This window comes from Homo sapiens, chromosome 6 (genome assembly GCF_000001405.40).
Source record: "Homo sapiens chromosome 6, GRCh38.p14 Primary Assembly".
Lineage (NCBI taxonomy): Eukaryota > Metazoa > Chordata > Mammalia > Primates > Hominidae > Homo > Homo sapiens.
Genome location: NC_000006.12, coordinates 35633827 through 35647621, shown reverse-complemented (window position 1 = coordinate 35647621; position 13795 = coordinate 35633827). Strand labels below are relative to the sequence as shown.

Genomic DNA, 13795 nt, shown 5'->3' with positions numbered 1-13795 from the left:
CTGGGGCTGACCCCAGACCTAGAGCTTCTCCAGGCTCCCTGGGAAGAGCTGCTCTTAACAGTTGGTGTTTGGGAGGCAACTTTCTCTTCTTTGCTCTCTCCTTCGGTCTGACCTCATCTGCTGTGTAGTGTTCAGAAATTCCCCCAAAGTTCTGGTTCAGTTAGGAACATGTCTTGTTTTCCACCTCAGAGTTTTGCAGATTTTAAAAACTTTTTCTTGTCATCCCAGCATCTTCCTGGGGAGAGGAAGTTGATGACTTAGTCCTGTCGTTCAACCTTTTTGAGGCCAAATAGGGTAAAATCATATTAAGGGGAATAATCCTGTATTCAGGTTCATCCTTTAGTATATAATGGTAACATTTGGATAGTCTAATATTTTCTGGGGTTTTTTTGTTTGTTTTAATATAATCCTTTGCTTTCTGCTTACTTGAAAACAGTAATTTATCCAACTCAGCACTCAGAGTCAGGGGAAGTGTGGTCTCTTAGCTTTGTTTTCTTCAGTAATTATTTGTTCCGAGAAGAAAAATAAGTTTACCAAAGAAATATCTTTCTGAAAACTCTCCTGTTAGTAGCATAATCTGAGGCAAGACACTGATATTTTAACAAAGAGAACAATACAGTAATTTACATAATATACATAGGGAATTGGTAGATATGGCTTTAAAATGACTTCTCATTTGGGGGACCTGATAGTTTAGTTATGTTAACTGAAATTTTTAGTACACTGTTGATAAAATATTAAGTGTATTCTCATTTTTCTGTTATGTCTCAGGTGTTTGCTGACTAGCACTTTGGAGAGTGTATGCTTATCTGCCATGTCCATAACAGAACGAACTGTGTTCCCTTTCTGATGCATTGGGTAGCAATTTTCCGCCTTTGGACAGTTCAGCACAGTAAGCTTTATCATAGATTAATATCCATAGCTACATAGTGATTTTAAATCCAGAATAAATCTAGGGTGAGGGAAAGAAGAAAAGTCTCTCTTATAAAAATGGTGAAACTGTCTCAGTGTGTCATTACAGTTTTTAGGAATTGTCTGTCCTTACTGTCTTTTTTATATAACATTCAATCAAGGAAAAAGTTTTATTTGTTTTGTTAGCTTACAAAAACCTATACTCCTAATGGCTTAACTGGAATTAAGGGGAAATACTTGGAAAATTCAGTTTATGTCTTTATTCTTCCAGCTTTATCTGCTTTTGAAAGTTCAAAAGTTTGTTTTCTTGTTGTTTTTATCTTTGTGTTTTAATTATTCATAGTACTTCTCTTCATATGGACTCAGTACTACTGACAAGAGCCATCCTCTGAGATTACTAAGATGACTTGCATCCCTTGAAGTGTTGGAGCCAAAACATGAAGAGCTAATTCCTTTATCAAATGGGATTTAGAAAGCTAGTAAATCAGCTTATACAGGTTGCCTATTTACTCGAATTTAAACAAGCCATTGTTTTCAAAATAGCAAGGTGAGAACCAAAAGAAAATGTTTCTTTTTTTCCTCTCTCTTTTTTTTGAGAAAGAGTCTTGCTCTGTCACCCAGGCTAGAGTGCAGTGGCATGACCTCGGCTCACTGCAACTTCTGCCTCCCAGGTTCAAGTGATTCTTGTGCCTCAGCCACCCGAGTAGCTGGGATTACAGGCGTGTGCCACCACGCCTGGCTAATTTTTGTATTTTTAGTAGAGACGGGGTTTCATCATGTTGGCCAGGCTGGTCTCAAACTCCTGGCCTCAAGTGATCCCACCCGCCTCAGCCTCCCAAAGTGTTGAGATTACAGGCGTAAGCCACTGTTCCCAGCCTGAAAACATTTCTTCATTGACAGTATTTTCATTTAAAAATTTAGCTGAACTCCAAATGATGAACATTCAAAAGAAAGCATTGTCTTTGGATGATTTGAAAGCAAGTGGCAGATATCATGACACCTCACCCCTAAATACTACAGCATGTGTCTCCTATGAACAAGGATATTACTCTGCATAAAACCATAATACTATATCACATTCCAAAAGGCTGACATATAGTAGTAATAAGCTAATATGCAGTCTCCTGTTCCAAGTTCTTATATTTTGTCCCCTAATCCAGGATCCAGCCAAGGATCACTGATTACACTTGGTTGTCATATCTCTATAGTCTCCTTTAATCTGGAACAGACCTCCCGTCTCTCCCTCTCTCTCTTTCTCTCTCTTTTTTTATCTTTTAAGAGATGGGGTCTCACCCTTCGGCCCAGGCTGGAGTACAGTGGCATGATCACAGTTCACTGCAGTCTCAAACTCCTGAGCTCAATCAATAGTCCTTCCATCTCAGCCACCTGAGTAGTTGGGACTACAGGTGCACGCCACCTTTTTGGTTCTTTATGTTGTTAACATTTTTTCAGGAGTGTAGGCCAATGGTCTTGTAGAGTGCTCCACAATCTGTTTTTGTCTTTTCTTCCTGGTTAGTTTCAGGTTAAACATTTTTGATAGGGATAGCACATAGGTGATAGCACATCTAAATCACATCACTACATCATATTAGGAGACAGAGTAATAGCACTTTTTTTCATTATTGGTGATGCAGAGTTTGGTTATGATGCAGATCATTTGTTAAAGTGTTATCAGTCAGATTGTTTTACTTGAAAGGTCTTTTTCCTTTTTTAATAATAAGTAATCTGTGGGGTACTTTCCCAATAACCTCTCACCTGGTGGTTTTCATTTGTTCAGTGCTTTACACCCAGAGATCTATTGATGGATGTCAGCATCTCTGTGAATCCCCAGGAAATTTTTTTGTGTGCATATATTTTCCCAGGCATACAGTCCAGGACCCTCCAAATATTTAAGAGATCTTTTCCCTCTGTTATCAAGGTGCCTTTTACAAGTTTCTGTGCATCACAGAAGCATATTATAAGCAGTGGGTTTCTAGAAGCTGGGAACCAATCCCGTTCTTCTGATTTTCCTGATTATCTAGCTCACCTCATGTAGAGCTAGGTACATAATTTTTGTTGTTTGTTTGAGAACGATTGTTCTGGCCTTTCGCTTATCCTGAGCCAAACATTTGGATCTTTCATGTTTGGTATAAAGCGTACTAGAAACTAGAGCAGAGAGACTTAGCCCCTGGTTTTTGGTGTTCTCATTTGAAGATTTTGGGGCACAACAATTGGATTTGTGTCTCTGTTGAACTGAATAGTGGTCATTTGGAAATGAGTTAAAACACTACAGTATATGTTTTAGTTGTCTAATTATAGTTGTATCAATAAGACATTTTCTGCAAGTGCAGAAAGACTCTTTGACTCTGTAGACAAGAAGGCTCAGGAGATGAGTTTAGGGGGCATTAAGTTTGTTATTAGCCTAATGTGTAATAGCTGTAGGAGTGATTCCTTCTTGATTTTCCCTGCCCAAACAGGGAGCAGTGTGGAATTCATCATGGCAGTGGTTAGGTGTGTTTTGCTTAGCCTATGATTAGCCTGTTGGTTACATTGGCTTGCCTTGCATGAAAAAATGTCTGTCAGGTGACTACCAATAACAATAAGAGCTAACATTTGAATAGTATACCTTAAAAATACACATTATACCACTTCAGAAGATTATCTGTGAAAACAGATATTTTTATTCTAATCACATAGGTAAGGAAAAAATCTTAGAGAAGTTAAGGTAGCCAACATCAAACAGCTTGTAAGGAGCAGAGGAAGAACACCCCCAAATTCCATTACAAATTCCTTGCACTTTTTGTCTTACCATTCTCAAAGGTAGAGGCATTCTAGGGAATCTAAATATGAACAAAGCATGGACCTTGCTCTGAAGGATCTTTTAAACCTAACAGGCGCATAGTCTTATGAATCTCTTACAGACAACAAATCGAGAGAAGAGCTAAGGAAGTACGTAAAAGGGCAAAATGGCCTACAAATAGAGGGTCAAGGTTGGTATGACAGAAGTAGGATTTGAGAGAGGTGGATGTTTTGGAAACAAGAAAGGGAGTGACCAGAAGAATGACTATGGGAAAGCACTGGGTTTGTTGTAGAGGTGGAATTGGCCTAGTTTGGCTGGAGCATGAGCTGCATGAAAGAAAGTAAAATAAAATAATGGCAGCTAGAACTCAAAGATAGATTAGGGCCAGATTGTGAAGGGCCTTGAATGCCACATGGAAGAACATTCTGTAGGTATTTTGGGCAGGAGATGAAAAATGACCCTACAGAAGGCCCAATAATGATGATAAATGGTTAAATATGTTTAAGTTACCAATCTATGCTAATCTTTTAAGAAATGTTATCTCACTGTAACTATGAATAGTGTACTGTGTCCATTTTGCAGATGAAAAATGAAGGCTCAGCAAGATTAAGGAAACTGGAAATGTCAAGAGCTGCAGCTAGGACCCAGACTTGGGTCTGTTGGATTCTAAATCCTGTTCTGTGTCTCACTGTGATTGATATATTGTCACTTCTTTTATTAAGAACTGATAAGGTCTTAATCCTCTGTCAAGAATATGGCTGTAGAAAAAGGATGTTTTCAAAGTTGTGAAGGGACTGCTTCTCACCATGTTATGTTAAGGAATGTAATCACTACCCAACTTGACTTGTACTGTTCTCTGTTTTGAGACCAGAGCTAGATGGGAAATTAAAGAATTGGATGATGTTTTATTTACATGCCTGATGACATCAATACATGCTCATAGCAAATGCCTTTGTTTTCATTTTCAGTATCTAAGCTTATTGGCCCTAAGTAAATCTTAGGTTAGGTAGAGCTCAGTTCCCAGGGACATTCAAGATTCATAAAGAAGTGATATTTTTCCCAGCTAAAATATTTTTCTTCTTACCAGGTTCTCTACTTAAAAGACAATGACTACTGATGAAGGTGCCAAGAACAATGAAGAAAGCCCCACAGCCACTGTTGCTGAGCAGGGAGAGGATATTACCTCCAAAAAAGACAGGGGAGTATTAAAGGTGAGGCCACAAAGCTGAGTGACATACAAGGAAACCTGCTGTCTGGAAAGATTATAGCATCTCTTTCTGAGGGGGGCTGGGGTGGATAATGTTTATTGATGGTTACTAAGTGCCAAACACTAGAGCTAGATTCTCATTTTGTCTTCATAACTTCAAGGTTTTTTTTAAGAGTTGAGTCTCGTTATGTTGCCCAGGCTGGTCTTGAGCTCCTGGGTTCAAGTGATCTTCCCATCTCAGCTTCCTGAGTAGCTGGGATTTTCTTTTTAAATTAATTAATTAAATTTTTGAGAGAGGGCATCTCATTATGTTGCTCAGGCAAGTCTTGAAATCCTGGCCTCAAGCAATCCTCCCACCTCAGCCTTCTGAGTAGCTGGGATTATAGGCACGAGCCACTGTGCCCAGCTAGAGATTTTAATTTTTAATCCCAGATTATAGATGTTGAAATTGAGACTGGGCTAGGTAAATTAACTTGCCTAATATCATATATCTTAGTAATGCAGATTTACCTGGGGTTCAGGTCCAAGTTATATCTCACTCTAAAGGGCTATATTTCCCTATTCTCAGAGTATACAAATAGGTTACTATTTTAATGTATCCTTTTAGTACACTAAAGCTAGCTAATGACAATTTTGAAGACTTTTTAAGGAAAGAAAAGCTAACTTGAAAAATTCAAAGGGGTTTTATTTTATTTTATTTTATTTTATTTTATTTTATTTTATTTTATTTTGAGACAGAGTCTCCCTCTGTTGCCTGGGCTAGAGTGCAGTGGTATGATCTCAGCTCACTGCAACCTCCGCCTCCTGGATTCAAGCAATTCTGCCTCAGCCTCCCGAGTAGCTGGGATTACAGGCGCCTGCTACCATGCCTCGCTAATTTTTGTAGAGACAGGGTTTCACCATGTTGGCCAGGCTGGTCTTGAACTCCTGACCTCAGGTGATCCGCCTGCCTTGGCCTCGCAAAGTGTTGGGATTACAGGCATGAGCCACCGTGCCCGGCCCAAAGGGGTTTATTTTTATATATAAATATTGTTCCTGTGTACAGTGAAGATATCTTTTGCGATTTCCTCTTAGAATATATCTTACTTTTGAATTAGCTTTCCTACTTATTAAAGCACTATACAGTCATTCACCATATAATGACATTTCAGTCAGTGACAGACTGCACCTTCAGCAGTGGTCCCATAAGATTATAATGGGGCCGAAAAGTTCCTATGGCCTAGTGGTGCCATAGCTGTTGTAGCATGGGTAGTACAGTGTATTATGTGTTTGTGGTGATGTGGGTGTAAACAAACCTACTGCACTGCAGTCACAGTTATGTATAGTACATAATACTTGATAATAAATGTTTATATTACTGGTTTATGTGTTTACTATACTTTCTATCATTATTTTAGAGTGTGCTTCTTATTTTTTAAAAAGTTAACTGTAAAACACCCTTGGCTGAGTGCAGTGGCTCATGCCTGTAATCCCAGCACCCTGGGAGGCCAAAGCAAGAGGATCACTTGAGGCCAGGAGTTCAAGACCAGCCTGGGCAACATAGTAAGACCCCTATCTGTAGAAAAAAAATTAAAAAAATTAGCCAGGCATAGTGGCATGTACCTGTAGTTTCTACTACTCAGGAGACTGAGGCAGGAGGATCATGTAAGCCTGGGAGTTCCAAGCTGCAGTGAACTATGATCATACCACTGCATTCTAGCCTGGGTGAGAGTGAGATCCTGTCTCAAAAACAAATGAACAAACAAAAAACAGCCTTGGGCAGGTCCCTCAGGAGGTATTCAAGAAGAAGGCATTGTTATTATAGGAGACAGCAGCTCCATGCATGTTACTGTCCTGAAGACCTTCCAGTGGGACAAGATGTGTTGGTGGAAGACAGTGATACTGATGATCCTGACCCTCTGTAGGCCTAGGTTTATGTATGTGTTTGTGTCTTAGTTTTAAACAAAAAAAAGTTTAAAAAGTAAAAGAATAAAAAATTTAAAAAACAGAAAAATGCTTATAGAATAAGGATATAAAGAAAGAAAATATTTTTGTACAGCTGTACAGTGTTTGTGTTCTAAGTGTCATTACAAGAGTCAAAGCTAAAAAAAAAGTTTACACAGTAAAAATGTTATAGTAAGCTAAGATTGATTTATTATTAAAGAAAGAAGAAAAATTTTAAAATAAATGTAGTCTAGGTGTCCAGTGTTTATAAAGTCTACGGTAGTGTATGGTAATATCCTAGGCCTTCATGTTCACTCACTGCTCACTCGCTGACTCATCCAGAACAACTTCCAGTCCTGCAAGTTCCATTCATGGTAAGTGTTCTGTATAGGTGTACCATTTTTTTTCTTGTATACCTTTTATTACTGTACCTTTTTCTATGTTGAGATATGCTTAGATACACAAATACCACTGTTTTACAATTGCCTGCAGTATTCAGTGCAGTAACACAATGTACAGGTTTGTAGCCTTGGAGCAGTAGGCCAAACCACCTAACGTGGGTGTGTACAAGTAGGCCAGGCCATCTAGGTTTGTGTAAGTACACTCTGCGATGTTCACATAAGGATGAAATCATCTAAGAACACATTTCTCAGAACATATCCCTGTCCTTAAGCGATGCATGACTGTGTGTGTTTCTTCACTCTATAGTTAATCATTTTCACGTGCATTTCTTTTGTTTTGTTTCTTACAACAATGTGGTGAGACAATCAGAGCATCTCTTGATTCTTCCATCTTATAAGTGAATAAACTGAATCTGAGAAAGGTTAAGTGGCTTTAGTCACATTAAATAGTTATTTCTCCTACACCATTGTTAACACATGTAAGTTTTGTATAGTTAAGTTTTGTTTTTCCTGAAAAGATTATCTGATGCATTCTGAATATTACCAGGATGCTGAGTTTTAATATCTCTTGTGCCAGCAGTAGCAAGTAAGAATTTTTGTTTTGTATAACTTTGCTTATGTGAAAGCCTTCTGTGCCTGGATCTCTTCTGAATATATGTGAATTGCTATTATGTGCTAAGTCAAATTTTGGGGACTTGCAGCTATAGAATAAGGGCTTTATGCTATAGATTTACATCCTATTGTCTTTTTTTAGAAGGCTTCTCAACCTTGTAGCTATAGTTACTCATCCTAAATTCCAGGAAGCTTCTAGAAACAGTGGAGACTTTGCAGGCTGTCCTCAGCATCTCCCTGCCTCTGTTTACGACTTACCCTTTCATCTTTTCAGAGTGCCCATGCCCAGAGAACATGATCCCCAACTTGCCTCAGACCCTGTTCTGTTCTAGGGAGTAAATCTAATTGCAAGATTTTTAGGCTTATTAAGAAACATTTGAGATTTGAAGCCCTTTAAATTATATCATTTATCATTGTCTAGAGCCTCGGATTTCACCATGAGGCTTTTGGTTAAGATTTAAATAGGTCTAGTAACTGTGCAAGCTAGGGCAATTTAGTTAACCTCTCTGTGATTAAGTTCCTGTTTGTAAAATTAGAATAATAATGCCATCAACCTCATAGAGTTATTAGGATTAGGTGAAGCACTTAGCATAGTGCCTGTCCTATAGTAATCTATCTTATTAACTATTACGTATTTTTAAAAAAAGAACCAGTGCTGGTTTGGAAATTCAGTAACTATCTGAGGAAGATAAAAGATGGATTTATATTTTAAAAATGAATAGAACCTAGATTGTGTTCTTAAGGCAACTCTAGATTTAGGTACAAATTCATCTTGCTAGGGAAGCCTGAAGTGATACCATAGTACCACTTGCTGGTGTGGATGGCTCTCTGACTCTCTGGTAGCCATTCATCCCACATGCCCAGTTACTGTTTATAGTCCTAGAAATGCAGATTCCTTCCACGTGAGGCTTACAGTTGAGCATAGCCTCCCAAATACCACATGCAGTTCGTGAACATGAGCACTTGTAGAATATTGTGTAATATCTTTTAGATTAATGTTTTGAGACTTTTTTTTTCTTTTGAAGTCCTAGAAGGGCAGTAGTGTTTCTTTGCCTTTAAAGAATATTTGGGGCTGGGTGCGATAGCTTATACCAGTAATCTCAGCACTTTAGGAGGCTGAGGCGGGAGAATCATTGGAACTCAGGAGTTCCAAACCAGCCTGGGCAATGTAGCAAGATCTCATCTCTACTAAAAATAAAAAAATTTGCCAGGCGTGGTGGCATGTGCCTGTAGTCTCTGCTACTCGGGAGGCTGAGGTGGGATGATCACTTGAGCTGAGTGATAGAGGCTACAGTGAGCTATGATTGTACCACCGCATGCACTCTAGCCTGGGTAAAAGAGCAAGACCCTGTCTCAAAAAATAAAATAAAGATGTTTGGGCTTTTGAGTTAAGAAAGCTGTGGAATTTAAGTTCACAGTGTTTATGTGATATTTATGTTAGGTGGACGGTATACTTGTAAAAAAAGAATTTAGGAGCAAATAATCGAATTATTTAAATAAAACTCAAAGCAAACTCCTTCCCCAAAAAGATGTTCATCAGATGTTAGCTACCATCCTCTGTTATCTACCAAAAATGATTAATTTGGCATAGATTACAAATTAACAAATTACACCATCACACACCTGGGTTTGATTTTCTTTTCCCAGAACTGACCAAATACATTAGCAGCTTGCTCTGCCAAGAACAAAATAAATACACTGGATTTTACAGTAGTTAAATACTTTACTAGAAAACAAGTTATTCAGTATCATATCAAGCAGTGCAATGATACTCATGTTTTTTACAGATAGACTATGTTTCAAATAATAGGAAATGTAACCTGTTTTACCAGGAAATTGGGCTTTCTGAAAATAAACAAGCAGAATCTAGTCAGGAGCTAATGTTTTTAGCAAAGGAGGGAAATAAAATTACACCTTTGAAGCTTTGCTTAAGCTTCTTTTTGAATATTTTAAAAGTCCACCATTCTTTCTGGTCTAAGTCCGTGTGTATATGGACTAGCTCACAAGCCTGTGTTAGAGAGTTTAGTGTCGGGCGCGGTGGCTCATGCTTGTAATCCCAGCACTTTGGGAGGCTGAGGCGGGTGGATCACGAGGTCAGGAGTTCGAGACCAGCCTGGCCAACATGGTGAAACCCCATCTCTACTAAAAATACAAAAATTAGCTGAGCACGGAGGCGCACGCCTGTAATCCCAGCTACTCGGGAGGCTGAGGCAGGAGAATTGCTTCAACCTGGGAGGCAGAGGTTGCAGTGAGCCGAGATCGTGCCATTGCACTCCAGCCTGGGCGACAGGGCAAGACTCCGTCTCAAAAAAAAAAAAAAAAAAAAAAAAGAGTTTACTGTCAAAATATAGGGCATTAAACCAATGAACAGGATTTATTGGTTAATTCTTTGAAGGAATAAATAGTGCGATTAGCAATAAAAGTAGATATAACATAAAAGACAAGTTGGTAAAGGACAGTTTTCTAACAATGAGTTATTGTGAGGAATGAAGGGAGGCATTAGAAAGAATGGATAATAGTATATTTGCATATCTGCCTGGATGTCTTGGGATGGACTGTGTGACCTTTTTATTCTCTGATTACAAGTAAAAAGTTTGACCTCCTTTTTCTTAATGTTTGTCTTTTCTAGATTGTCAAAAGAGTGGGGAATGGTGAGGAAACGCCGATGATTGGAGACAAAGTTTATGTCCATTACAAAGGAAAATTGTCAAATGGAAAGAAGTTTGATTCCAGTCATGATAGAAATGAACCATTTGTCTTTAGTCTTGGCAAAGGTAAGAGGGTATTTTTTTGAGTTGTGTTTTACTTAGCTTTATTACTATTTGTAATATATAGGAGCAGAGGATTCTATCCTTTCTAAAAGTAAAGAAATTTTAGAGTAGTAGTACTCAAAGAATGGTCTGAGAATCCCTAGGGCTCTCTGAGATCTTTTTAGGGGGTCCCAAATGTCATTTATTTTCATAACAATACTAAGATATTATTTGCCATTTTACTGTATTGACATTTATTTGCACTGATGGTACAAAAGCTGCAGTTGTAAAAAAACTGCTGGTTCCTTAACACAAATCAAGGCAGTGGTAACCAGCTGTTCCAGTAGTCATGGTATTTTCCACTGCCACTCCTTCACTATTTACATAAGGGAAAAAGCTAGTTTCACGTAAAAATGTCCTGATAAAGCAGTAAAAATTATTAGTTTTATTGAAACCCAATCTTTGAGTTTCACATCACTTTGATATTCTGTGACAGAAAGGGAAGCACGTGTAGAGCACTTCTGTCCCCCAAAGTATGATGGTTGTCTCAAGGAAAAGTACTTGTGCTCTTGTTTTAGTTGAGATCTGAACTAACTGCATTTATTTCATGAGATACCATTTTTACTTGAAAGGGCAAATCTGATTATGCAGACTTGATTCAGTATTTGGCAGGTGTTTTTCTGAGAATGAATGGAGTAAGTCTGTCACTTCAAGGAAAAACAACTGACAATGTTTTTTGCCATTAAGTTTTCAAGTAAAAATTATAGTTTAGGAGAACTCCTATTTGCCACTGTGGGCTTATTTGCCACTGTGGGCTTGACAGCTTCCGAAGACTTTTCTGATGAGATTGGTGGGTATTAATGAATGTGGTTTTAAATATACAATGAAATGTGTCCACATTTGGAAGATCTGTATAACTAAGAATGAATATTTTCTCAGTGACCAATGCAAGATGTTACAAGATCATGTGTGAATAAACAATTCATTCAAAGTTAGACCAACAGATTTTAATGTAACAGTATGAAAAGTTCACTGATACACTTTCAGTTTCCACATTGTAATTGACTTTTATGAATCTTACAAGTTGTACAGTTTTGATGTAGTATCAGATAATTATATTCACAATTATCTAAAAGGTTGTTAAAGGGCTCCTACCCTTTTCAACTATCTATCTTTGTGGGTTTGGATTTTCTTCTCTATGTACTTCAACCAAAATTGCAACAGATGAATGCAGAAATAGGAGAATCTGGTTGTCTCGTGTTACAAGTCAAACACATTTCCACATGTATAACATTCTAAAACAATGACACTCGTCTCACTAATTTTTTTTTTATTTTGGAAAATACAAAATATACAAATACTTTGTACAAAATTAAATTACTTATATTAACATGGGGTTATTCTAAAATGAATTATTAAATAACTACTTTTTTACTAAATCTCAGTAGATATGTCAAATAAACAAGTTCTTTGGAGTCCTCAATTTTTAAGATGTTAAGGGGTCCTGAGGAAAAAAGGTTGAGAACTACTATTTTCAAGTATTAAGTATGATTTTTACTAAATTATTTTCAAATGCCTTTTTTTTTTGAGACAGGGTCTCGATCTGTCACCCGGGCCGGCTCACTGTAGCCTCAACCTCTCAGGCTCAAGTGATCCTCCCAACTCAGCCCCGCAAATAGCTGGGAATACAGGTGCATGCCACCATGTCTGGCTCGCTCTGTTGCCCAGGCTGGAGTGTAGTAGCACCATCTCGGCCCACTGCAGCCTCCACTTCCGAGGTTCAAGCAAGATTATCATGCCTAAGCCCCCCAAGTAGCTGGGACTACAGGCGTACACCACCACGCCTGGCTAATTTTTGTGTTTTTTGTAGAGATGGGGCTTTGCCATGTTGGCCAGGCTAGCCATGAACTCCTCACCTCAAGTGATCCGCCCACCTCAGCCCACCCAAACACCTGGGATTACAGGCATGAGCCACCATGCCCAGCCTAATTTTTTTTTTTTTTTTTTTTTTGTAGAGACAGGGTTTCACCATGTTGCCCAGGCTAGTCTTGAACTCCTGGGCTCAAGCAATCTGCCCGCCTCAGCCTCCCAAAGTGCTAGGATTATAGGCATGAGCCACCACACCTGGCCTCAAATGCTGTTAAATGTCTTTAGTTCATTTAATGTTCTTATTTTTTAATCTTGTAGGAATAATAGCCCATACATCAAATTAAACTTTGTAGAACATGTGGCTTATTGGAAGTTGGTGGCTGAGTTACATCTTTTATTCTTGTCTGCCACAGACAAGCAACTGTAGTTTGTTCCTAGATTAGGGAAAAAAGAAGTATTCCCCCTATTCACCACCATGGCTATGTGTGGACTTCATTCCCTTGTCCTTCAGCTCTGTATCTAGTTGAATTGCTAACTAAGCATGGATCTGGAAAGGAAATATAGTAAGCAGAAACTGAGGAGTTACTTTCTGTCTCTTGCCACTCAGCCTTCCCTGCTTCCTGTATCATTTGTGTGCCTGGTGAATTCTGCTTCCCGTCCAGCTGTGCTCTTTCCAAGCTCCAGTTCTGGCCACGCCCCTGCTCTCTTCTCCTTTGGGTCTTTAGTAGGTTAATGGCTCATGAGATATTAATTTTTTGTTTGAATAAGATAGCAGTAAAAATCAAATACAGTCTTGTGGCAGATAATTATGACAGTTATTTTAGAATTTTGTTGTTGTTGTTGTTGTTGATTTAGGCATATGAACCTCCAGGGCTGCCAGAATGGGTGTGGCATCATTATTTAGGTGACCTAAGAGTGACTGACCTTGTCAGACCCCCTTGTTCCTGCCACCTGCTAAATCCTTACTCTATCCTTAGAATTCCTGTCTTAAAGAAGCTGAGAGTTAAGATAACAGGTCCTTTTAGCAGTTATCTTGGTGAGCAGAATTAAGAATTGTTGAGAATTTATATTGGTATCTTCTCTACTGAGATTTTCTCAGTAAAACACTATGGTGAATGAGTTTCCTGGAATTTTAAGCAGAGTAAGAAGATTTTCTGAGTTATTTTTTTTAAATACAAGTTGGGAGAAAAAAAGAGGCAACTTTCAGTTGACTTTGTACCTCTGACACACCTGTCTAGAGTCAGTGCGGTCTCATGGAAAAAGCTTCCAGCCGGGCATTAGGAAGCCAGGGTTCCTGTCTTCCCTGTTCCTTGTGGTGTGTTAACATGAGTAAGCCACTTAA

General features: G+C 38.5%; 1 protein-coding gene across 4 annotated transcripts in view; it reads left to right on the top strand.

The window, feature by feature from the left end:
• The window catches only part of FKBP5 (FKBP prolyl isomerase 5), a 154994-nt gene that overhangs the window by 80962 nt on the left and 60237 nt on the right, over nucleotides 1-13795 (top strand). For all 4 annotated transcript variants that reach the window (NM_001145775.3, NM_004117.4, NM_001145776.2 and 1 more), the window contains 2 exons: nucleotides 4779-4902; nucleotides 10464-10608. In NM_001145775.3, coding sequence (NP_001139247.1) covers nucleotides 4798-4902; nucleotides 10464-10608 — 250 coding nt within the window. In that variant the 5' untranslated portion in view covers nucleotides 4779-4797. The remainder of the gene's footprint in view (nucleotides 1-4778; nucleotides 4903-10463; nucleotides 10609-13795) is intronic.